Source organism: Homo sapiens, chromosome 2 (genome assembly GCF_000001405.40).
Source record: "Homo sapiens chromosome 2, GRCh38.p14 Primary Assembly".
Classification (NCBI taxonomy): domain Eukaryota; kingdom Metazoa; phylum Chordata; class Mammalia; order Primates; family Hominidae; genus Homo; species Homo sapiens.
In genome coordinates this window covers 78,021,903-78,049,750 of record NC_000002.12, presented here as the reverse complement: position 1 = coordinate 78,049,750, position 27,848 = coordinate 78,021,903, and the positions used below count along the sequence as shown (strand labels likewise).

General features: G+C 35.8%; 1 long non-coding RNA gene across 1 annotated transcript in view, besides 1 other annotated feature; it reads left to right on the top strand.

Moving 5' to 3' along the window:
* LOC101927967 (uncharacterized) overlaps window positions 1–27,848 on the top strand; it is a 547,036-nt gene that overhangs the window by 240,981 nt on the left and 278,207 nt on the right. The gene's annotated exons all lie outside the window — the stretch shown is intronic.
* Window positions 13,295–14,234: an enhancer, noted in NCBI's record as "OCT4-NANOG hESC enhancer chr2:78262643-78263582 (GRCh37/hg19 assembly coordinates)". NCBI's record gives its function as "activates a minimal SCP1, AML or CMV promoter by ChIP-STARR-seq in primed H9 embryonic stem cells {active_cell/tissue: H9 hESC(primed)}" and the evidence as "EXISTENCE:reporter gene assay evidence [ECO:0000049][PMID:30033119]".

Here is a 27,848-nt window from a genome sequence, read left to right as displayed (position 1 = left end):
AGGAACTTAAAGAAATTTACAAGAGAAAAACAAACAACCCCATTAAAAAGTAGGCAAAGAGCATGAATAGACACTTCTCAAAAGAAGATATACATGCAGCCAACAAGCAAATGAGAAAAGCTCAATATCACTGATCATTAGAGAAATGAAAATAAAAAACTATGAGATACTATCTCACACCAGTCAGAATGGCTATTCAAAAGTCAAAAAATAATAGATGCTGGTGAGGTTGAGGAGAAAAGGGAGCACTTATACATTATTGGTGAAAGTGTAAATTAGTTCAAACATTGTGAAAAGCAGTATGGTGATTCCTCAAATACCTAAAAGCAGAACTATCATTCGACCCAGCAATCCCATTACTGGGTATATAATAAGAAATAAAAAACATCTACCCTAAAGACACATGTACATGAATGTTTATTTCAGCACTGTTCACAATAGCAAACACATGGAATAAACCTAAATGTCCATCCATGACAGCCCGGATAAAAATAAATGTGTGGTACATATATACCATGAAATATTATGCAGCCATAAAAAAGAATGAGATCCTGTCTTTTGCAGGAACAGGGATGGAGCTGGAGGCTATCATCCTTAGCAAACTAATGCAGGAACAGAAAACCAAACACCACATATTATTATAAGTGGGAGCTAAATGATAAGAAATTATGAATACAAAAAAAGGAAACTGCAGACACTGGGGTCCATTTGATGAGAGAGAGTGGGAGAAGGGAGAGAAGCAGAAAAGATGACTAGCCAACCTCCTGTTGACTTCTATTTTTATTGTGCTGTGACCTGAGAGTGAGCTTAATACCTTGATGATGTAATAATATGTACAACAAATCCCCATGACCCATGTTTATCTATCTAACAAACCTTCACGTGTACCCCCAACCCTAAAATAAAAATTTAAAAAAAGAACTAAAAGTAGAACTACCCATTCCACCCAGCAATTCCACTACTGGGTATCTCCCCAAAGGAAAATAAATCATTATATGAAAAAAAAACACTTGCACACACATGTTTATAGCAGCAAAATTTGAGGTTGCAAAAATATAAAACCAGCATAAATGCCCATCAACCAACAAGTGGGTAAAGAAAATGTGGTATGCATACACCACGGAATACTCCTCAGCCATAAAAAAGAACAAAATAATGGCATCTGGAGCAACCTGGATGGAGTTGGGAACCATTATTCTATATGAAATAACTTAGGAATGAAAACCCAAATATTGTATGTTCTCACTTACAAACAGGAGCTAAACTATGAGAAGGCAAAGGCACAAGAATGATATAACAGACTTTGGGAGTATTCAGGGGAAAGGGTGAGAGGCGGGTGAGGGATATAAGACTAGCATTGGATACAGTGCACACTGCTTGGGGGATGGGTACACCAAAATCTCAGAAATTACCAGTAAGGAACTTAATCATGTAACAAAAATACACCTGTTCCCCAAAAACAATAGAAAAAAATAAAATTAAATAAAAAATACATGTTGTTGAGATTGCAGTGAAAAAGGAGTCCTTGTACACTGTTGGTGGGAGTGTAAATTAGTTCAACCATTGTGAAAAACAATGTGGCAATTACTTTTTTTTTTTTTTTTTGAGATGGAGTCTTGCTCTGTCATCCAGGCTGGAGTGCAATGGTGCGATCTCAGCTCACGGCAACCTCTGCCTCCCAGGTTCAAGCACTTCTCCTGCCTCAGCCTGCAAAAGTAGCTGCGATTACAGGCACCCACCATCATGCCTGGCTAATTTTTGTATTTTTTGTAGAGACAGGGTTTCACCATGTTGGCCAAGCTGGTCTCAAACTCCTGACCTCAAATGATCCTCCCACCTCGGCCTCCCAAAGTGCTGGGGTTACAGGCATAAGCCAGCACACCTGGCTGACAATTTATCAAAGACCTAAAAAACCCTAAAAAGACCTAAAAGACCTAAGCACAGAACTACGATTTGACCCAGTAATTCCAAAGAAATATAAATCATTCTGTCATAAAGACACATGCATGCGTATGTTCATTGCAGCACTAATCACAATAACAAAGACATGGAATCAACCTACATGCCCATCAATGATAGATTGAATTTTAAAAATGTGGTATATATACACCATAGGAAACTATGCAACCATAACAGAGAATGAGATTATGACCTTTGCAGGCACATGGTTGGAGCTGCAGGCCATTATCCTTAGCAAAGTGATGCAGCAAAAGAAAACCAAATACCACATATTCTTACTTATAAGTGAGAGCTAAATGATAAGAAAACATGGACACATAGAGAGGAACAGACACTGAGGCCTACCACAAAGTAGAGGATGAGAAGATGGAAAGGATCAGGAAAAATAACTAATGGATACTAGGCTTAATACTTGAGTGATGAAATAATCTGTACAACAAATCCCCATGACAAAAGTTTACCTAAATAACAAACTTGCATACGTACCCCTGAACTCAAAATAAAAGTTAAAAAAAAGGAAGAGAGAGAGGAAAAAAACTTAATTATAAGAGCCTTAAAAATATATATAACTGTCCTGAGACTTTCTACTCTAAAAGTGTTTTATTAGTCTGTTCTCATGCTGCTAATAAAGATGTACCTGAGATTGGGTAATTTATAAAGGAAAGAGGTTTAATTGACTCACAGCTCCACATGGCTTGGGAGGCCTCACAGTCATGGCTGAAGGCAAATGGGGAGAAAAGTCATGTCTTACATGGTAGCAGGCAAGAGAGCATGTGCAGGGGAACTCCCCTTTATAAAACCAGCAGATCTCATGAGAATTATTTACTATCGTGAGAACAGTAAGAGAAAAACCTGCCCCTATGATTCAACTACTTCCCACCACATCCCTCCCATGACCCGTGGGGATTATTACAAGTCAAGGTGAGATTTGGGTGGGGATATGGAGCCAAAACGTATCATTCCATCTGTGGCCTCTCCCAAATCTCATGTCCTCACATTTCAAAACCAATCATGCCTTCCAAAAGTCCCCAAAAGTCTTAACTCATTTCAGCATTAACTCAAACATCTAAATCCAAAGTCTCATCTGAGACAAAGTACTTTCTGCCTATGAGCCTGTAAAATCAAAAGCAAATTAGTTACTTTATAGATACAATTGGGGGTAGAGGCATTGGGTCAATTGCTCCCAAATGGAAGAAACTGGCCAAAACAAAGGTGCTACATGCCCCACACAAGTCTGAAATCCAGTGGGGCAGCCAAATCTTAAAGCTCCAAAATGATCTCCTTTGACTACAGGTCTCACATCTAGGTCACATGATGCAAGAGGTGGGCTCCCATGGCCTCGGGCAGCTCCACCCCTGTGGCATTGCAGGGTAAAAGCCCCACTCCCAGCTGCTTTTACAGGTTTTTATTGATTATCTGCAGCTTTTTTAGATGCATGGTGCAAGCTGCTGGTGGGTCTACCATTCTGGGGTCTAGAGGATGGTAGCCCTCTTCTCACAGCTCCACTAGGCAGTGCCCCAATGGGGACTCTTTGTGGGGGCTCCAACCCTGCATTTCCCCCTTGCACTGCTTTAGCAGAGGTTCTCTATGTGGGCTCCACCACTGCAGCAGACTTCTGCCTGGACATCCAGGTATTTCCATACATCCTGTGATATCTAGGTGGAGGTTCCCAAAGCTTAACTCTTTTCTTCTGTGTACCTGCAGGCCCAACACCCACGTGGAAGCCATCAAGGCTTGGGGCTTACACTCTCTGAAGCCATGGCCCGAGCTGTACCTTGGCATCTTTTAGCCATGGCTGGAGCAGCTTGGACACAGAGCACCAAGTCCCTAGGCTGTACACAGCAGGGGGACCCTGGGCTCAGCCCAAGAAATTATTTTTTTTCTTTTAGGCCTCCAGGTCTGTTATGGGAGGGGCTGCCATAAAGATCTTTGACCGTCTCTGGAGACATTTTCCCCATTGTCTTAGTGATTAACATTAGGCTCCTCATTACTTATGCAAATTTCTGCAGCCAGATTGAATTCCTCCTCAGAAAATAGGTCTTTCTTTTTTATCACATCAGCAGGCTGCAAATTTTTTGAACTTCTATGCTCTGCTTCCCTTTTAAGCATAAGTTCCAATTCTAAACCACATCTTTGTGAATACATAAAACTGAATGCTTTTAACAGCACCCAAGTCACTTCTTGAACACTTTGCTGCTTAGAAATTTCTTCTGCCAGATGCCCTAAATCATCTCTTAAGTTCAAAGTTCCACAAGTCTCTCGGGCAGGGGCAAAATGCTGCCAGTCTCTTTGCTAACATATAATAAGAGTCACCTTTGCTCCAGTTCCCAACAAGTTCCCCATCTCTGTCTGAGACCACCTCAGCCTGGAATTTATTCTCCATGTCACTATCAACATTTTGGTCAAAGCCATTCACAAGTCTCTAGGAAGTTCCAAATTTTCCGACATTTTCCTGTCTTCTGAGTCCTCCAAGTCCCTAGGAAGTTCTAAACTTTTCCACATATCCCTGTTTTCTTCTGAGCATTCCAAACTGTTCCAGCTTCTGCTTGTTACCCAATTCCAATGGTGTTTCCACATTTTCAGGTATCTTTACAGCAGCACCCCACTACCTGGTACCAACTTACTGTATTAGCCTGTTCTCACACTGCTAACAAAGATTTACCCAAGACTGGGTAATTTCTAAAGGAAAGAGGTTTAATTGACTCACAGTTCCACATGGCTGGGGAGGCCTCATAATTATGGCAGAAGGTGAAGGAGGAGCAAACTCATGTCTTACATGGTGGCACGCAAGACAGCATGTGCAGGGGAACTCCCTTTTATAAAACCATCAGATCTCACAAGACTTAGTCATTCTCGCGAGAACAGCATGGGAAAAACCTGCTCCCATGATTCAGTTAACTCCCACAGGGTCCCTCCCATGACACATGGGGATTATTACAAGTCAAGGAGAAAGTTGGGTGGGGACACGGAGCCAAACCATGTCAAGTGTCATCTTAGATATAAAAGTTTACATATATTATTTTAGCTTATTGTTTCTTTAATGGTAAGACTGAATATGTAAAACAAAAATAGAAAAAAATACAGAATTAAAAATTTTATTTATGGTTTGTTGCTAAAATGTAATACTATGTGGCTATTAAAGTCAGGTATTCAAATGACATTCAAGAACATGCCACGAGTACTTGAAAAATGATGTTATTGGGAGTAAGAGAAACTCTAACAATACAGTCCTATATTTTAACATATATTTATTACCTATATTTATGTATTTATTTTCATATATTTATCTGAGTTTAACAATTACACCATGTCTGTTTCCTCCTGGTAACACAAGGCTAATAAAAGTAAGTTGGAGAAGAGATGGAAATCCACATTTTCTGAGCACTTAGAACATGCATATGTCACAATGTGCTTTATAAAATCAATCTCATTAAATCTTTATAAGGCTTTTTAGTTATTACTATCAGAACATTTCAAGGGTTCAGAAAAGTTAGAAAAGCTACTAAACCTGGATGAAGTAGTTTTAGAGTTCAAATCTGGAGTTTTCTGGCAGTTATCCCCTTCCTTTTTCATTAGACTAATCCATTATGCAAGTGGTACCCATTATCAACTGGCAGCATGACGTGCAAGATGGGCTGTCACATAAGACTATCTAAATCTAGAAATTGCAGTAGAAGAGCTTAATCCTTCTCAGTACTCCTTGAAGCCTGGTGGGATTCCTTAGAGCCTCCCAACTGTTACTGCTTCCTTCTACTACAGACCCAGACAAATGAAAACAAAATGAAGTGCAAAAGCAAAGAAAGGATAGGCTGAACTATGTGATATTTAGGAAGATTGGACTATTGGGAAAATATTTCTCAAAAAAAGATTATAGATGCCACACAGAGAAACGTCATCTCATTGCTAGAATTAAAGCCCTTTGATTTAGCAGCATTTCTTTTACAGTGCAAATGCTTTATTTACCTTTTTATGACTTAATCACCAGTAATGTAGGTAAGAAGGTCCATTTCAATGATAAATAAGGATCAACTGTGAAGGAAAGGAAGAGTAAAGTTAATGGACTGATGAGTAGAAAGAGATAATTTTAGAATATTGAAGTGAAGGGTTTGAATATGGGAAATTATGAAAGCTACAGACAGAACGGAGAGAGGCAGGGAAGCACAAACTGGGGCATTTTCAATATGTTTGTTCCAGTGCCCAAAGTATCCTGTCTTATTCACAGTACCACGAAGAGTCTAACAGAGCCTGACTGAGTTTGAGGAAGCTCTCTTTAGCATAAAATCTTATTTCTTCTGCAACTTTTTCACATATTCATACTAGTAAGAAAGTTGTCATTTCAGTAGGAAGAATTCAAAGCCAGAAAGAGGGAGATCTTTGTGGTACATTGATAAATAAGTTGGTAATTGGCTATACTGCTGCTTTTTATTTTTTCTTCAGTCCTTTATTTATTCCTTTGTTTGTTTCCTCCTCACTTCTTAAATTTCTTCCTTTCTTCTATTTTTTTTCCTCCTTTGGTCTCTCCTTTCGCAAATATTTACTTCCCTTGTGAAGTATGGTAGATCCTTTACAAGGTGCTGAATATGAAGAAGAAAACGAGACATTGTTCTTATGCCAAAGGAATTCACAGTCTAGTGTTTTTATTACTATAAATAAGTACAAGGAAGAAAAGCCATTTTCACCATACATTAAAAATAAAAGTTCTCAAGTTGGGTCTATTTTAAATTAAGTGAGAAATAAAATTATATGCATTTATTTTGGATTTTAACTTTTTAATGAAGAGTTTAAAGATGGAAATAAAAGTCATCTAATTTTTAACTTTCACTCTGTATCCTTGGACCAGTGTCTCCCATTTCCTCCATCACCCAGCCCCTGCAACCTCCAAAAATTATCTTTAATTAAATAGTACAGATGTTGGTTTCAGGATGTTTTCACTCTTCTTAATCTAATTCTGCTGTGTATTATTGTTTGGACTTATTATTGTTTATCTGCATAATATAATTTATATGCCAATAACACTTGCTACCTGAAGTCATGGAGGGGAGCATACTCTAAGGCAAGGTTCACCAGAATCCTTGGCCTAGATGGAAGGATGGGAGTGGGAGGTGTTGTGGAAGGGAGGATCAAGGGAAATTAAAGGGTTGTAGTAGAAATTTGTGCTGTTTTTATTTGCATTTGCATTTTTTCCTATGGATAATATTTATGTTTTTCTTTAGATCATCAGAAAGGTCTGTGATTTCCCTATTTAAAAACCATAGGTTTAAATTCAAATATAAATTAAATATGCTGCTTTTTGTTTCATTGACCCTTTTACATATTTTTTTCAGATTGTTCCACTAACAGAGAACTTTGGCAAACACACCAAAAACAGAACAAAACAAAACAACTATATTTAAATAAACACTTTTCTTCCCCTTTCAAACACTTGCCTTAGCTTAGTTCTCTGTATAATATAGTTCTCTGTATACATTGTTTTCTAAAAATTAATTTTACATAATATCTGAAATCTACTTTGTACCAATACAATTATAGACATTAACATCTGTGTTTCTTTACAGGAAAATATTACCTTGAATATCTTATCCTACAGAGACATTTGACTTCTTAAGGCTGAGAAAATGAGAATATCACATTGTTTGTTATCACCACCCCAACCCAAACACATTTTTGCCCAAAATGTGCAATTATGTCCACTTTTTAGTTCATGATATTATACCCATATCTACATTATCTAGTAAAAACGACCATGGCAGCAGCAGTAGTAGAAGAAAATTAGCTGGGTTGAAGAGAAATTAATTCTCCATGATTATTTAAATTTATTTCCTTAAAAAAAATTGGCACTTGTTTTTCAGTGTAAGCTTCAGAGCTGTAAGGAAATGCACAGGGCTCATTACTTAGGAATAGAAAAGCTATTTTGGATCTGAAGCTAATAGATTGCAAATAATCCAGATGCTGCTATATGTACTTCAGATAGATTATTGAAGTCCCTAGTGACACTACTTTCCTAGTTAGAGAAATGTTTTATTTTTTTAAACTGGGTAGATACTGCATTTTGAGAATATTCCTTCAATATAATTAAAGAATTATAGGGAAGAAATATCTACTGAGAGATTTTTTTTTTTCAATCTCAGAAATGCTGCTTGAAATTTAAAATCATGTAGAGTCACTTCTGCTCCTTGGAGTCTAAGAATCTGACACTAGGTTTTCATATACATTGTATTGGAATAAGATAATCTCTATATAGTGTGAACTGAGTATTAAAATTGACTCTTACACATAAAATGTTGTTCCTGCTATTTCACCACTACCCTGGTTTCCCACTTCTTAAGGCTTTGTCTTCAAAATATTTAAAGGCATGTTACTTGAGGAGAAACAGCTTTGGAAAATTTGGTGGGTTAATCTATCACTACATTTTTATCTAGAAAAACAAGGCAATTGCCCTACAGAACTAAAAAAAAAAAGAAGAAAAATAAATTTTAATTAAGCCACATGGGAGTATGGCAAAGGTATTAAATTTATTTATTTATTAAATAATTCTTTTTAGTTTCTTTCTTTATTATATTTACCAAGTATATAAAAGTGACAACTTAGTTCAAAACACTGTGCTAAAATTACAAGTGTCCTTAGAATAAAAACAACAGTTTCAGAACTCTTTAAGCATACGTTCTGATTGATGAGACACACAAAATCAATTACCATTCTTTGATTCTAAAAGTAATATATGGTAATTGGGAAAACTACATGTAAGATATTTTTTAAATGTAAAAGCACATGCATACACAAATAAATACATGACACAAATAGTCACACCCATTCCTTAATTCCAATTTCCTAAAGTAATTTTAAAAAATATTTTTGTGCGCTAATTGTAATTATTAACATATCTCCAACAGTCTTCTTCTTTCTCTCTTCTTCATCTCGAACTTGAGCTCTCTATTTCTATATTTCTGACAAGTATTAAGGAAGAGAGCAACGGGGCTCTGTAAGTCCTGGTCAATGGGGAAATCTAACCAATGCAAGAGAATCATGAGTATCTCCCTGGATAAAAAGACATTTCATATGGACTTGAAAATGGAGATTAAGTAACTCAAGCTTGGGAAGGATCATGAAAGTATGGCGGGCCGGGCGCGGCGGCTCACGCCTGTAATCCCAGCACCTTGGGAGGCAGAGGCGGGCAGATCACGAGGTGAGGAGATAGAGACCATCCTGGCTAACACGGTGAAACCCTGTCTCTACTAAAAAATACAAAAAATTAGCCAGGCGTGGTGTCGGGCGCCTGTAGTCCCAGCTATTCAGGAGGCTGAGGCAGGAGAATGGCGTGAACCCGGGTGGCAGAGCTTGCAGTGAGCCGAGATCGCGCCACTGCACTCCAGACTGGGTGACGGAACGAGACTCTGTCTCAAAAAAAAAAAAAAAAGAAAAAAGAAAAGAAAGTATGGCTTTCAAGATTTTTGAGTGCTGGGAGGTGAGAAAGAACTATGTGATTTCTGGTGTAGAAATAAGGCCAATCTAGTTGATATGAAAAGCTAACGTTTCTGGTTTATGATGCAGCTAGGCCAGTAGGCAACAGTTAGCTGGAACAGCTACTTTTGGACAGTTTATGCTAAAGACAGCCTTCTCAGCTATGGAAAGTTACTGAAGGGTTTTAAGCAAGTTCCTAGCATGATCAGATTTGAATTTCTGAATTATAACCCAGGATGCAAATCACAGGAAACCGGTAGTGGAAAAACATGGATGGAAGTAAAATAGTCAGAAAGCTATTACAGCAGTCATAGGGATCAGAGATGGTATTATAGACAAAAGTCACAGCAAAAGAAATGGAGATCTATTGTCGAGGTACAGTCTCAGTAGTTCAGTATGAGGTTCTAGTGAGGATGATGAAGACTTCTAAGTTTTAAATTTTACCTAAAAATAAAATATACCTATACTTAAAAAAAAAAAAACAAACTTGAACATCTATGAAACCAGGAGAAAAAACTTAGTCACCCATAAAGACTAAGGCAGAGGAACCCCCAGAGAGATAGCACTTAAAGTCGAGTTACCTGCTTTTTCTAACTTTGCCAGACCCAGGTAAACCCCATGTGTCATGTGAATAGCACTTTCCACTTTATCCTTCATTAAAGATGTGAGTTATATACATTAAATCTGGGATAAAAGACCTATTTGCCTCTAAAATCTGTGATTCCATTTCTGATTTACCTACAAAACTCAGATAGTGAATTTTTCACCTCTCGCTAAAATACTTAGAAAGGCATAGACATGGATAAAATTTTAAAATAACCCATGAAAAGTGAGAATGACAGCCCCTTGTCAGAACCTGAAAGAACTTTCCAATTAATTAAAAAGTGACAGTTGATTGGTAAATCACTACCCAGTCTTCATCTTAAGCTTATCCCTACTTCACCTTATGAAATAGGGTGCACGCCAACAAAATGATAGTGATCAAACTTCCCACACAGTCTCAGATTGGTTCTCTACCAACCAAAAGAGCAAGCCGCTGTCTACCTTGCATTCAAGTGAGAAATGTGAGAAATGTGAAGGGACCCTGAGACATATCTTTCCCACCCTAGTTTTGTTCAAAATCTGATCTTTATCTATTCAGCAAATATTTATATATTCCTTAATGGCATAGAGCTAGGATCTGAAGATACAGTGGTGAAGGTTCATGATGACCCTGTCTTCCTAGGATTTACAGTTTTTAAGAGTGCAAACTTAACACTAATAGGACAAGATAGTAATTCACAGGTGCACTTTGGGTCTCAGTTCAATGTTACTGAATGGTCTTCCCTGAATCTCTCAACTTACAGGTTGCATTATAGTGGCCTGTATTCTTCTGGAGTCCTTTTCAATCAGGTGTAAGTTTTGTGAGCTCTGTCAACGTGTAGACATTATCAGCATCACTCATCACCTACCACTGTAACTCTGATACTAACAGGAATCAACAAATGTCCTATGTATGGCTTTTGAACTAATAACAGTTTTCACTTTTTCAAAGGGTGGTAGAAAAATTAGAGGAAGAAGAAGTAGGAGGAGGAAGAAAAGGGTGAGGACACCATGGAAAGCAAAATGTGTGTGGTCCACAAAGTCTAAAATATTTACTGTCTGTCCATTTACAGAAAATTTGCTCACCCTCTTAGCACATAGTAAAATCCCAAGTAATATGTGTTAAATAAATGCATAAATGACATTTCAGAGCATTGGGCACTCAAAAGTACAGTGACACAGATAGTACCAGATACTCACATCCACACAAATAATTACCAATAGTACATACTAGGAATTGTGGTTTCTATGAGCTTGATTAGTTCAGAGTAAAAAATAAGAGCTGGAATAAATAAGTTTTACTTATCAAAAGAACAAGTGTTCACAATGAAAGTCCACTGAAATGACACAATTAAACTATAAGATGGCATATTGTCTTAGTATATATCTGAGAAGATTAATTTTATTTGTCAACTTGATGGGGCTAAGAGATGCTCAGTTAACTGGCTAAAAATACTTCTGGGCATGTCATTCTGAAAGAAATTGCCATTTGGATCAGTAAAGAAGATTCACTCTTCCCAATGTGGCCAGGCATTGTCCAATTCACTGGGGCCCTGAATAGAACAAAAAGGGTGAAGAAGGACAAATTATCTGTATCTTTCCTTGAGCTGGGACACACATCTTCCCCTCAGGCAAAGGAAATCCTGGTTCTCAGGCCTTTAGACTCCAGGGCAGAGGAACTTAACAGGAGTTCTCCCCACCCCCGCCATGTTTTCAGGTCTTCAGCCTTGAACTGAATTACATCATTTGGTTTCCTAGTTCACTAATTTTCACTAGTTTCCAGCATCCATATGACAGATTGTGGGACTTGTCAGCCTCTATAATTGTGTGAGTTAGTTTCCATAATAAATCTTCTATATCTATATACTAATAGCTCTGTTTCTTTGGAGAAAACTAATACAATACCAACAAAATAATTCATGACATTCAGAATACACAATTAAAATGAAGTGAAGAAACTTGTCCCTAAAGAGTACTTGCCTGTTAAGAAACATCTCATTTTAATTATGTAGTAATGGAGATGGGGATCACCTTCTTGTTTTGTTTTGAGATGAGTCTCACTATGTTGCCCAGGTTGGACTCAAATTCCTAGGTCAAGAGATCTTCCACCTTGGCCTCCTGAGTGGCTGGGACTACAGGAGATCACCTTTTCAAAGCTGAATATCAAAGTCAGAAAATCAACTAAATGAAAGGCAGGTTTATCTATAAAAATCAAAATGTTATTTATCATAAAATGCCATAAATACCTTTGGATAAAAAGACATTATAAATAATGACTGCCACATTCAATCATTCATGACAAATTTATTCATTCATGTCATATTCAAGTATTTTCAAGATTTAGGCTTTTTTCTATTAAGATGCAATAAAGAACTAAAGCTTGAAAATACATTTCAATCAGGAATGACTACACAATACAATATGTTTCATCTCAAGCAGAGAAGTGCTCAAACATTGAGGTTAATAGTATGAACTCTAACAATAATGATCATGTTCAAATAAACATCAACTCTAAGGGTCCCTGTTGTGAGGACAAAGTTATTTAATCACTCTTTGTGACTATTACCTTATCCACAAATGAACATATTAATAGTACCTACTTCAGAGCTATATAAGAAATAAATGTGTTAATACAGATAAGGAAATTAAATGAATTTAATATAGGTAAAGGCTTAGAACAAAAAAATCGCACATATTCATTATCACTGTATTTCAGTAATGGTGTTACCAATCCGTAAAATAAAATCTAAAACAATGGTGAGTATATCATCTTGTTACACCATTTAGATTTACAAAGATTAAAAAAAAAAAAAGGCCAAACATGGTTGCTCACACCTGTAATCTCAGCACCTTGGGAGGCTGAAGAAGGAGGATCATTTGAGTTCAGCAGCTCAAAATCAACTTCTTCATCTTATTTTCTCTTTGCATTTTAGTTTGAATTTATACTCATGCATCCTCAAGATCACTAATTATTTCCTGAGCCATATCCAGTCAACTGATGAGTCCATTAAAGATTTTTTAATTGTTATTAGCTTTTTATTTCCAGCATTTTCTTCGAATCCTTTTTTAGTTTCCATCTCTCTGCTTACATTACCCACCTATCCTTGAATGTTGTCTAATTCTACCTGTAGAATACTGACTATTATAAATATACATATGTGTGTGTGATAATTTCAATTTATGTGTTACTTCTGAGTCATATTCAGATGCTTGCTTTGTCTCTTCAGACTGTTATTTCCTGAGTTGTTCAATGTCTTACAATTTTTTTGTTGAAAGGTGAGCATATTGTTATCAGATAATAGGAACTGATGCAAACACACTTTTACTGTGAGGCTTTATGTTAATCTGACTGTGAGTTGTATTGTGTTTCATCTTTGTCACAGCTGTAGGTGTCAGTAGTTTCAAATTCTGCTAGCATCTACTTTCTTTCCTCTTTTGCTTTTGTGTTCTCCTATGAACTTCTTAAAGTCTGAGACTTGCAGCTCTTTCAACTGTAATCCACGGTTATTAGGCTGAAACCTTGTTGATTTGGTGGTTTTGTGGGGGAAGGGAAGCTTTCTATAATATTATAATTGAATCAATCTTTTAGTGGCCTTGCATCTCTTGGCTGTGACCTTCACAAGTGTTTCTTTCTCCAGTTGGTGAGACAGAAAGGCCAGAGGATGCTATTGTTAGATAATTGCCCTATTCCTGGATGTGATAATGATCTGATAAGGTCTTTTCTCCTACCTGCCAGCCAGGTTTTTGTTATGGAGAATGCTCTGGGTATATTTCAAGTTGGTTTCTTTACTGCTCCCCAGGCCAGAAGCACCAGGGAATTTCCTGGCTCTTTATCATGAGAGCTTACTGGAGGTGAAACCCATAAACACGCTAGGGACTTCGAAGACTGCAAACCTCAGGAGTTTATTCCTCATGCTATTTCACACTGGACTTCCAGCCATTTGTCAAAATTACTCTTTAGGTGCTTCTACCAGTTCATGGCTTCAGCAGCTTCTGTTCCAGGTTAGCTGATCTCAGTTTTTTGTGAGATCAGTGATTCTGTTTAGGGCAGTGTCTCCACATTTCAGGGTACCAGTTTACTCCACTATCTCAATTCTTTGATTGGTCCTAGAAAATCCATTGATATTTAGGGTGTTCTGGTTTTCTCATTAAAAAAAAAATAGTTAATGACCACTATGCCCTTTACCTATTAGAGCTATAGCTCAAGTCAAATGCTTACAATATAATGTTTGAAGAAAACCATGTTTTATTTTTAAAGAAAGAAAACAGATCAAAATGCAGAATGTACAGAAATTATCTCAACCCTGTTAAATCTATTAACAGTTTAAAATGCTTTTCTTTCAGTGGGTGGGTTACAGTTGGTTGTCTGCTTTTTACCATTCTGTATTTTCTAAATTGTGTTCAGTGACCATATTTTACTTTTATAATTACAAATATATTTGGAAACATTCTAGAACTCAAAGCAGAGACATAGTGTAGTTATCTAATGACTTTGGAGAAAATCTGCTTCGTTTTGATTCTTGGCTTACCTCATATTCTGAGTGATCCTGGGTGACTTTCTTAATTATTCAGTGTCTCAGATTTCTCATCTGTAAGAATACTAGTATTGGTACCCCCCAAAATCATCATCAGAATTAAGAGATTAATATATGTAAGCTGCTTAGTATCTTCAAAAACCTTTATTATTTGAAATAAGCAATTGAGAATTTTTTAATTGTTAAAACAGATGTAATCTATTTTTCATTTCCCTTGACAAAACCATAGTCTGAGTAACTCATCGTCTTCTCAAGTGAGCCAATTAACTATTCCTCACCATCTGTTTGGCCAGTGATCTAGTCCCTTGCTCCCAGTCATATGCAACGGACTTTAAGAGTATAGAGGTCTAAGAATGCTGGAAGGGCACCAGATTGAAGAGTATTTGGCTATGAGAAATCACCAGAGGGGGAAAAAATATATACATACGTGTGTGTGTGGTGTGTGTGTGTGTGTATAAATATTTAGATGGAATAAAATATGCCACTTTAAAAAATTGTTTTTGCAATCTTATCTTGGCTGGCAACTCTGACATCAGTACAATAAACGTGAATATAATGTTTATCCACTTGACAGTCATTCCTCTGTAAAATCAATGTGTCATTTGTGTGAGGGATTTTAGTGGAGTTGGCAGGGATCATATTTGATCTTCCTTGTTTATGATACCTTTTGCTGATATTTGTTTTATTCTTCTTTATAAGAACAAACATATTTCTTTCTGACCCTTAAAAAATGAAATATTTTAGTGGGATTGAATCTATCAGCAGCATGACTTGATGTATTTGATTAACCCATTCTTGAGAAAATGGGTAAACTTTAATTGTTAATGGTGAAAAATAAAATGTATAACAATACTGCATTATAGAAAGGTTCTTAAACTATACCTGTCATCACCTAATATTTTTCATACTTGTCTTTAATCCACATAGAGCTTTAATTGATACTACTATTTTTAACATGAAAGACAGTAGAATTTTTCATTCTGAAACTGTAATTTTAAATATGATTTTGAAAGTAGATTCTAGAAAATTACAAGGAATATTAAAAATGTTGGGCAGTATTCAAAAAGAGTTCTTTCAAAATCCTTATTTACAGTTTATCTTGTATTCAATATAGAAAAGGCAAACAATGCAGAGATACACAATAATTTGAACCTAATATGGAGATATATGAAAACTGTGTTTTTTTCTATGATCGATAAAATATATCTATTAACTTTAAAGAAAAACAAATTTAAAATGCAATGTTAAATGCTGATAAAAATAATTTTTAAGCTCTTGTACACAGTGTTGTATACTTTAAATCTAATATCCCTTTTAATCTTCACAATTGCCAATGAAGTAGATGCTCCTGTCACTATCACTTTATATGTGTAAAGTCCTTGGGACTTTACATTGAATAAAGTCCTTGGGAAATCTAGAAATGTTTTGTTATCAGAGAAATATATGATGATACATAACAGTTTGCAACAATTCTGAACAAAGTCACAGGATCATTAGGTTTCTACAGAAGAAGACCACAATCTTTGCATATATAAGTCATAAAATTTTGATAACTAAAAATGCATATCACAAAAAAAAGAATGAGAAGTGTATTTTGCAGGTGGTATTAATAAAACTTTTTTTTTTTTTTGGAGGCGGGGGATGGAGTCTCGCCCTGTCACCTAGGCTGGAGTGCAGTGGCGCCATCTCGGCTCACTGGAACCTCTGCCTCCCAGGTTCAAGCCATTCTCCTGCCTCAACCTCCTGAGTAGCTGGGACTACAGGCATGCACCACCACGTCAGGCTTTTTTTTTTTTTTTTTTTTTTTTTTTTTTGTATTTTTAGTAGAGACAGGGTTTCACCCTCTTGGCCAGGCCGGTCTTGGACTCCTGACCTCAAATGATCTGCCTGCCTCGGCCTCTCAAAGTACTGGGATTACAGGCATGAGCCAATAAAACATTTTTAAGAATACTTTTCATTTCATACTTCCCCCATAAACTAGAATGACATTCAAATTGAAAAGATAGTTGTAAACAAGCATGTTAAAATCTGTAAATTCAAATGAATTCTATTTGTCCAATACTTGGAGAAGCACTGTTGGTAAATATTTGAAATTGAAAAAATAAGAACAGTGTAACAAATTTGGTTCTGGGCAAAATTTTCAAAGGAGGAGGAGAAATCTGGTAGTAGATGGTATTATACTGACAATAGAAAATTTATTTAAATAGCATTAAAAATAAACCAAATTTAGAAACTTTCATTTCCTGAAGACATGTCATAAAAAATAATAGGCCCCTATTTTTCTCCTTCCTGGAAGTCATGCCTAAAGATAACACAAAAATGAGTTCAAAAATGAAATATCTGAAAACCTAAGACCAGAATTCTGAGAAACCCCTGATGCGAGAGATGGTATTTTGTCTCCAGATGTGAATGGAGAAGTGGTAAGGAGGGAGGAAGAGAAAGGACAATAAACTGTAGGCAAAAAAAATGCTGGTGTTTTCAGAATATCATATAGTTGGAATAATGCAGTATGTAGCATTTTCAAATGGCCTTCTTTCACTTAGTGTTATTCATTTAAGTTTCCTTTATGTCTTTTCATTGGCTTGAGAGTTCACTTCTTTTCAGTACTGAAGAATATTCCATTGTCTGGATGAGCCACAGTTGATTTATTCATTCATCTTGAAGGACATTTTGATTGCTGCAAAGTTTTGGCAATTGTGTACAAAACTGTTATAAACATCTTTGTGCAGAATTTCGTGTGGAAATAAGCTTTTAATTCATTTGGATAAATGCCAAAAAGCACAATTGTTGGATTGTAACAACAGCATGTTTAGGTAAATGCCAACTGTCTTCTCAAGTAGTTGCTATGGACTCAACTTTGTCCCCCCAAAATTCATATACTGAAGGGCTAAACCCCAATATGATGGTATTTAGAGGTGCGGTCTTTGATAGATAATTATGTTTGATGATGGCATAAGGGTAGGACCCTCATGATGGGATTAGTGCCCTTATAAGAAGAGACACAAAAAAATCTTGCTTGCTTTCTGTCCACCATTTAAGAACAAATGGTTCTTAAAACAAGAACCATTCTATATTCCCACCAGCAATGAATGAGAGTTCATGTTGCTCTACATCCTTACCACCATTGGTTGTCGTTAGTGCTTTAGATTGTGCCTGTTCTAATATATGTGTAGTGGATCTCATTCTTGTCTTAAGTTGCATTTCCATGATGACATAGGATGTGGAGCATCTTTTCATATGCTTACTTTCCATCTGTATATATTTTCTGATGAGGTGTCTGTTCAGGTATTTTGTGCATTTTTTATTCATTTGTTTGTGTTCTTATTGTTGCTATTTAAAGTTTCTGTATGTATTTGGTATAACAATCCTTTATCACATATATCTTTTGCAAATATTTTCTTTGAGTTTGTGGCTTGTCTTCTCATTTCCTTGGCAGTATCTTTCACAAAGCAGAAGATTTTAATTTTAATGAATTTCAGCTTATTGATAATTTATTCCATGGATTTTGGTTTTGGAGTTATATCTGAAAAGGCATCAGCATACCCATTCTTCTATGTTACCTTCAAGTGTTTGTAAAATTTTATGTTTTAGAATTAGGTCTATGATTAATTTTGCGTTAATTTTTGAGAAGTGTGTAAGGTCCAGTTTTTTTTTTCCTCTCTCTCCCTCTTTTTTTTTCCTTCCTTCCTTCCTCTCGTTTCTTTCTCTCTCCTTCCTTCCTTCTTTTCTTCTCTTCCCCCTCCCCTCCCCTTCCCTCCTCTCCCCTTCTCTTCCCTTCTGTTTTATTTTCTTTTGCATATGGTTGTTGATTTGTCCCAGGATCATTTGTAAAGAAGAACACCTTTTATCCATTGCATTGCCTTTGTTCCTTGTCAAAGATTGGTTAACTAAATTAACGTTAGTCTATTTCTGGGCTCACTATTACATTCTATTAATATATATGTCTATTATTTCACCAGTACCACACTGTCTTCACTACTACAGTCCTATATTAAGTCTTGAAGACAGGTAATGTCAGTCCTTTAACTTTTCCTTCTCGTTCAATATTATATTGGCTAATTTGGGTCTTTTCCCTTTCCATATAAACCTCACAATTAGTTTGCCAATATCCACAAAATAATTTGCTAAAACTTTGGTTGGAATTTAGTTAAATTTATAGATTAAAATGGGATGAACTAACATCTTGGTTATATTGAATCTTTATTCTTGAACTTGAAATATCTCACTATGCATTTCTTCTTTGATTTCTTTCATCAGAATTTCATAGTGTTCTTTATATAGATCTTGTACATCTTTTGTTAGATTTATAACTATTTTATTTCTTAGGGTGCCAATGTAAATGATATTTTGTTTTTAATTTCAAATTCTACTTGTTTATTACTGGTATAGAGAAAAGAGATTGGCTTTTTTTTAATACATTAACCTTGTATTCTGCAACTTACTATAATTGCTTCATAGTTTCACAATTTTTTTGTCAATCCTTTTAGATTTTCTACATAGATAATCATATCATCTGCAAACAAAGACAGCATTATTTCTTCTTTTTCAATCAGTATTCATTTAATTTCCTTTCTTATCTAATTGTTAGCTAAGACTTTAAGTATATGTTGAGAATAAGTGGTGAGAGAACATCCTTGTCATGTTTCTGAGTTTAGGGAGAAATATTTTAGTTTCTCACCATTAATTATAATGTTAACTGTGGGTTTTTTTTGTAGATGTGCTTATCAACTTGAGGAATTCACCCTCTATTTCTAATTTGCTAATTGTTTTTATCAGAAGTTGGTTTTGAATTTTGTTAAGTGCTTTTTCTGGTTCTGTTGATATGATCATGTGACATTTCTTTTTCACTCTGTTGATGTGACGGATTACATTAATCAAATTTTCAATGTTGAACTAGCCTTAAATGCCTGGAATAAGTCTCATTTGGTAATGGTGTTGAGGCAGGAAATTAAAGAAAGAAAGAAAAATACATTTTTTTTAAAAAAGGAAAACAAGTTTTCTATATTAGGCTGACTCATACCAAAGGCAGTAACAGGCAAAGCCTGGACCCAGGTGACGTCTTGATAACATTATCTAAGAAGCTAAGGCTCAAACGAATGTGCTCTGGAGACTCTCCCAGCACTCCCACAACATAAGGATAAGAAAAAAAATAAAACTTCCTCACTCCTTTAGTAAGTTCCCATTCGAATCCCATCCCCCTCTGTGTGATTGTCCCTTGCTTTGCAAGTTTTATAAGGTTATAGATTCCTGTTTTCTGTAATTAGTAACTCCAAGTATTCTGTTTTTATCTGAGTAGTACAGTGAAGGTTACAAGACATGCCTAAGCAGGCCTGGATTGCAGCCATATAGGTGCCATGGCAAAGGTTATAAGATAAGCCCTTGCAAGGCAGTAGAGCAAGCCTAGATAGCAGCCATCTGGGCCACATAGCAAGAGTCACATGTAATCCTGAGTTATGCACCTTTTACAATTTGACTCTGCCTCTGTATCCTTACTGTCATGCTGCTATGCTTTGTGCCACTGTAAGCTTCTTTCAAGCTAGCCTCCCCCCTTGAGAAGTGTGTATAAAAGTCAAGTGCCGTCTTTGTTCTGGGCCCAGTGTTTGGATGTTAATCTGCTGGATCTGAGTGCACTCAGTGAAGTCCTCCTGTCCTACCTATCGGTCTCTCTGGTCTCCTGATTCCTGCAACAGTGTATAATTCTTTTTCTAAATTGTCGAATTCAATTTGCTAATATCTTGTTACGAATTTTGCATCTTAACAGATACTGAAAGACACTGGTATGTAGTTTTTTTTTGTTTTTCTTTTCTTTTAAGGTCTTTGTCCAGTTTTGTTATTGGGGCAATGCTGGCCTCATAGAATCAGTTAGAAATAATCCCTCTGCTTCTATACTATAAAAGAGATTATAGAGGATTTTTATAATTTCTTCATTAAATGTTTTGTAGGATTCACCAGTGACCCATCTGTTCTGGTGCTTTCTGGTTTAGCAGGTTAATAAATATTGATTTAATTACTCTAATAGATATAGCCCTGTGTTAGTCTGTTTTCACATCGCTATAAAGATACTACTCGAGACTGGGTAATTTATAAACAAAAAAGGCTTAATTGACTCACTGTTCTGCATGGCCAAGGAGGCCTCAGGAAAGTTACAATCATGGCAGAAGGAGAAGCACTCACCTTCTTTACCAGGAGACAGCAGAGTGAGTGCTTGTGAAGGATAAACAGTCAAACACTTATAAAACCATCAGATTTTTTGAGAGCTCACTATAATGAGAATAGCATGAGAGAAACTACCCCTATGATTCAATCTTCACCTCCCACCAGGTCTCTCCCTCAACATGTGGGGATTACAATTCAAAATGAGATTTGGGTGGGAACACAGAGCCAAACCATATCAAGCCCTATTCACATTCTCTATTTCTTACTTTGTATTAGCAGATTGTGTCTTTTAAGAAATGGGTCAATTTCATCAAGGTTATTGAACGTGTAGGCATTAAGTTGTTCATACTATTTCTCTATTTTCCTTTTGATATCCATGGGATCTGTAATGATGTTCCCTCTTTCATTTCTGTTATTAGTAATTGTCTCTTCTCTCTGAGTTAGCTTGGATAGAGGCTTATCTATTTTATTTGTCTTTTCAAAAAACCAGCTTTTGGTTCTTTTGATTTTTCCTACTAATTTTCTGTTTTTGATGTCATTGATTTATGTTCTAATTATTATTATTATTTTATCCTGCTTATTTTGAATGTAATTTGCTTTTCTTTTCCTGGTTTTAAAGGGAGACAATAAGATTATTGAAATTAGACTTTTTTACTTTCAATGCTAAATATTTTTCAGTAAGCACTGCTTTCACTGCATTCCACAAATTTAATGTCATATTTCCGTTTTAACTTACTCTAAAGAACTAAAAAAAAAAATTCTCTTGAGATTTCATCTTTGGTCCATGCATTACTTAGAAGCATGTTGTTTAGTCTCTATGTAGTTTGCAATTTTTCTAGTTTAATTCCATTGGTGTGTAAGAGCATACACTGTATTATTTCTATTCTATAATTATATTTTTACTACATATACTTTATCACATATCTGTCTATTTATCTATACCTCTATATATCCATCAATCATGTTTCTTTTTTTAAATAAAAATGCATTTCAGAGTAACTTTCTGACCATACATTTCTTCCTAAAATATTACTATGCACATTTTTTAATATAATGTTTTCTTACAAAATTTCTTTTGTAGGAAAATTTGCTTATGGGAAAATTTATAAATCTTTATTGCACCACTTGATGAATTTGATAGTACGTACACTTGTGTAAAGGAAACTCATCCAAATAAAGAACTTTATTATCATCCCAGAACATTTCCTTATGCTTATTCTCATTCAAATACTTTTTCTCATACTATAAACAATGTCCTCATTATTTTCCCACCAGAGATTAATGTAACTTCTCCTAAGTATTCATACTAATTGAATCATAATTATGTACTCTTTGTATCTTATTTGTTTTACTCAGGATAAGCATCTTTTTTTGTTTTGTTTTTGTTTTTGAGTCAGGGCCCAACTTTGTCTCCCAGGCTGGAGTGCAGTAGCACAATCATGGCTCACTATAGCCTCAATCTCCTAGGCTCAAGCCCTCCTCCCACCTCAGCCTCTTGAGTACATAGGACTACAGGCATGTGCCACAAAGTCCAGCTAATTTTTTTATTATTATTATTATTTTTAGGAGAGATGAGGTCTTGCTATGTTGCCCAGGCTTGTCTCAAACTCCTGAGCTCAAGGAAGCCTCCCGCCTTGACCACCCAAATGCTGGGATTATAGGCATGAGCCACTGTACTTTGCCCAGGATAAGCATCTTGAAATTAATCCACTTCATATTGCAGATCAGAAATTCACTCCATTATGTTACTAAGAAATATTCCACAGCATGAATTTATCTTACAGTTTGTATATATTCCTTGGGTCATGGACACTTTTTCCAGGTTTAAGATATCACTAATTGAGCTACTATTTCCATTTTATTGGCAGCGTTTTTATTGATCTCGGTGTGACACTGCTATGTTATAGAATAGGTACATGTTTAGCTTTATAAGAAACTGAAAGACTGTCTTTCCTTAGTGCTTGTGGTACTTTACACACATCAAAAGTGTTCTGGTTGCTCCACTCCTCAACGTGAAGTTTCCTGGTGGCTATAGAGTGATATTTCACTCTAGATTTAATTTGCAATTACCTAGTGGCAAATGTCTTTAAGTACTCTCTAATGTGTGTATTGGTCATTCATGTTTTTTCCTGTTAAGTGCCTGTTTAAATCATTACCCCACTCAAAATATGTTTTTTTGGTCTTTTTAATGTTGAGGTATAATTTTTCTTTATTACCAATGTACTAGTGTTTTTCAGATATGTTTGTGAATATTTTCTCCCTCATTATTCCGTGCCTATTTATTTTTGACAAAGTTTTATATAAGCAGAATTTTAATCAGGTAAAATTTATTGATGGCTGTTGCTTTCTGTGTACTGCCTAAATAACTTTAACTAATCTCAGGTCATAAAAATATAGTCCTTATTTTCTTTTGGAAAGCTCTTTAGTTTGGATTTTAAGCTAAGATCAATCTCCAATAGAGGGTCAAGGTATATGTGTGTGTGTGTATGTATATATATATACACATACATATATATATTTGTGTATTTATGTATATACACATATGTTTGTGTATGTATATACATATATGTATATACATATATGTTTGTGTATATGTGTATATATGTATATACATATATGTATATACATATATGTTTGTGTATATGTGTATATATGTATATACATATATGATTGTGTATATATACACATATATGTATATACATATGTGTATGTGTATATATAGAGACATATATGTACGTGTATATATACATATATGTATGTGCGTATATACATATATGTATATATACATATATGTATGTGTATATATACATATATATGTGTGTGCATATATACATATATGTATGTGTGTATATACATATATGTATGTGTATATATACATATATATGTACGTGCATATATACATATGTGTATATATATGCCATGTGGCTCTCCATTTGCTCAATGTTACTTTTGTTTTTTCTATATTTTATCTATCCATATGGCCCCACAGTCCAGTTACTATATATGCTCTGTGTTTTCTCCATATAACTATCCAGTTGTTATAAAATATTTTACGAAAAGACTTTCATCATCCATTGAATTGTTTTGTGCTTTTTGCTTTGATTTTATTTCTTGGATGTATATTCTGTTCTGCTAATTGATTGATCTTTATGGCAGTAACCCACTGTCTTGAATCCTGAAGCTTTTTATAGTTCAACTTGAAGTCAGATAGTGAAAGTGCTTCAAATTTGTACTTTGTTTTTTAGGATTGCTTTGGATACTCTATGTCTTGTACATCTACATTTATATTTCTAATAAAAAATGCTAACTGGGGCTTATGATTGGGATTTTGTTGTATCTACATAATGAAGATAATTGAATCTTAACACTACTGAGGTTTCAACACCATGGACATGACATATCTCTCCAATTATTTAAGCCATTTTTACTTATTTCAGAAAATATTTTACCTTCTGATTGTATGTATTTATGCATTTTATATATCTTTGTTAAATTTCTCATTAATACTATCAATATTATTGATACTTGAAAGTGGTATTATTTGTCAGTAGGCAGAATTACAATTCATTTTTAAGTATTATCTTTTAAAAATTTATTTATTTATTTATTAAGAGACACGGTTTCTCTGTCACCCAGGCTGGAATGCAATGGCGTGATTATAGCTCAATGCATCTTCATCTCCCTGGGCTCAAGCAATCTTCCAAGCTCAGCCTCCCAAGTAGCTGGAACTACAGGTAGGTGCCACAATGTCCAGTTAATGTTTAATTTTTTTTTTTTTTTTTTTTTTTTTGCAGAGATGTGGTCTCACTTTGCTGCCCAGGCTGTCCTGTAACTCCTGGGCTCAAGACTCCTGGGCGCAAACAATCTTTTTACTTTGCCTCTCACAGTGGTGGGATTACAGGCATGGGCAACCATGCCCGGCCAAGTATTGTCTTTTTATAGTGTGGTTTTGCTCAGTTTAATTATTAGTTCAAATAGGTTTTTTGTAGATGCCTCAAGGTTTTCTAACTAAACCCTCATGTCATCTGGAAGTAAAGAAGGTTTTACTCCTTTTCTTTTTTAAGCCATTATGCTTTATTTTATTTTTCTGGCCTTATTATAATAGGTAGATCTTCATTAAAATGTGGGAATGAAATGATGACAGTAAAAACCATGCTTTAGTCGCAAAATTAAGAGGAAAGTATTCAACATGCCATGACTAATGAATTTATTTTCTATTCTTTTTCTAATATATTATTAAACCTGTGTGTTGTATTAAAAAATTCCTTCATTTCACTTGTGTTTTCAGTTTGACTTTTTACTCTATTCTCTATTTAAATTTTAATTTTTTTGAAGTTTTCCATTCTCTTTTTAAACTTTCTTTAATATATTAACCATTGCTCTTTTAAAGTCTCCAACTGATTTTTTCCAATAGATTATTTTTTCTTCTGTTGCTTTTTGTTTGCTTTTAGCTTCTTGTCAATTAACTTTGTTTTCTGTTTGTTTATTTTGATTTGTGTTTTAGGTTTTTTTTTTCCCATGGCTTACTAATATATTTAGATATCGAGAATCAAAGATGGAATTCTGGTTCAAAATGGCTGACTAGAGACATTGGGCACTCTCCCTCTCCAGAAAAGAACCAAAATTATGAATAGATAATAACACTCCAAATAAAATATCTAAGAAAGAATACTAGTCTAACAGAGAAATCACAGGAAACACCTGAGACACAGAGGAGAAGGGAGCAAGATACCAGCTTAGCGGAGGTGGGCCAGGAACCCACCTCCAGGTTTGGCACTGTGGGGATAGAGTAAGTGAAAGAACTTCATTGGCCCACATCCCACCATGGACTGCTGAAATCTGAAATACAAGAGAGCTCCTCTGCCCACGTGAATGCTGACAGAAGTGTGAGCAGAGATCTAGAGACTCTATGAGGGCATCACACCAGACAGGGACATTGGCTGGGTCGCTCACACCCTTAAGACCTAAGCATTGCAGCAGGACATCATTTTAAGAACACTGCCGTTATGAAACTGCATCCTGCCTTGGGAACCACAGCCCCCATATCTCCACATCCCAGGAACCACCCCCACTCCCCACATACCCTTGTGTCTATCTAGAGAGCTACAGCAGCACAGCACTAATTAGAGCCAAAGTACTGTGGGTCCCCAATACTGAAGTCTACTTCCTGAGGAAAGGATGGTGCAGCACACCCAAAAGGTAGCCCAGGGACAAAGGAACCCAAAGGTTGCATTTTTTCCAGAGCTGTAAGAAGCAACCATGCCCCTAGTAGTGGCACAAATTCTGTGTTTGGTCTCCTGAGAAGAAAGTGAGACCTCCTACAAATACTGCTTCAGCAGTTGCTGCCACTGGTGAGCCTGACAACAGACTGTCAGGTTGGGTAGAGTGACCCCATCCCCACCAGTGGAGCAACCTCTGTGCTCAGGCTCACATAAAGATCATAGAGCACAAGACACCTTTCCCCCATCTGCACAGTGCTGCAGCTGTAGCCACTGCTGCTGCCACCAGGGGCTGGGGCAGGTGAGCAGAAGGCTGCCAGTCTGGGGCTGTCAGTAACAACCTTGTCTCCTCTGTCAGCATGATCTCCAACCTCAGGCTCAAGTGTGAAGGGCAAGATCCCTCCCTCCCTTGCATGGTGCTGTTGCACTACTGCCACTAAGGGCTGGTAAGTCTAAATGCTGCCTAGGGTTCTCTGGGGCCGTGGGTAGTGATCCCACATCACAGCCACTGCCAACACCAGCACACACTGCTGAGGACCCAAAGAAATAAAAGGCACCCAAATTGGAAAAGAGGAAGTCAGATTGTTTTTTTCTGCAAACTGACTTGATCTCATGTCCAGAAAAAAAAAAAAAAATCCATCAAAAAACTCTTGGAACTGATAAAAACATTCAGTGAAGTTGCAAGATACAAAATCAACATACAAAATCCAGTAGCTTTTCTATACATCAATAATGAAATGGCTGAGAAAGAAATCAGGAAAGAAGCTCCATTTACAATAGCTACAAAAAATTACCTAGGAATAAATTTAACCAAGGAAGTGAAAGATATCTAGAGGGAAAAGTGCTATACACTAATGAGAGAAATTAAAGAGGACACAAACAAATGGAAAGACATCCCATGCTCATGGATTGGAAGAATCAATATTGTGAAAATGACCATACTGCCCAAAGAAATCTACAGATTCAATGCAATACCTAACAAAATAGCAATGCCATTTTCTCACAGAATTAGAAAAAATAATTCTAAAATTTTTCTGAAAGAAAAAAGAGCCTGAATAGCCAAAGAAATCCTAAGAACAAGAACAAAGCTGTAGGCATCACATTACCTGACTTAAAAACATATTGCAAGGCTATAGTAACCAAAACAGCATGTTATTGGTATAAAAATACACAACTAGACTAATGGAACAGAATGGAGAACCCAGAAATAAATCTACGTGTTTACAGCTAACTGATCTTTCACAAAGCCACCAAGAACATACTTTGGAAAAAGGGTACCCTCGTTAGTAAATGGTGCTGGGAAAACTGAGTAACTGTATGTAGAAGAATGAAAATGGACCCCTATCTCTCACCATATGCAAAAGTCAACTAAAGAGGGATTAAAGAGTTAAACATAATACTCAAAACTATAAAACTACTAGAGGAAAATGTGGAGAAAATTCTTCAAGACATTAATCTTGACAAAGATTATATGGTTAAGATGTCAAAAGCACAGGCAACAAAAACAAAAATAGACAAATGGAGCTGTATTAAACTGTAAAGCTTCTGCACAGAAACAGAAACAATCAACAGAATGAAGAGATAACCTCTTGAATGGGAGAAATTACTTGTGAATTACTACTTTGACAAAGGACTAATATTCAGAATATGCAAGGAACTCAAACAATTCAATAATAAGTAAATAATGACATTAAAAGCAGGCAAAGGACATGAATAGACATTTCTCAAAAGAAGACATATAAATGACCAACAAACATGTGAAAAACTGCTCAACATCACTAATCATAAGTCAAATACAAATCAAAACTACAATGAGATATAATCTCACCCCAGTTAGAATGACTTATTAAAAAGACAAACAATAGCAGATGCTGGTGAGGATACAGAGAAAGGAGAACATTTACACACTGTTGAATTACTTCTATCACTATCATAATCT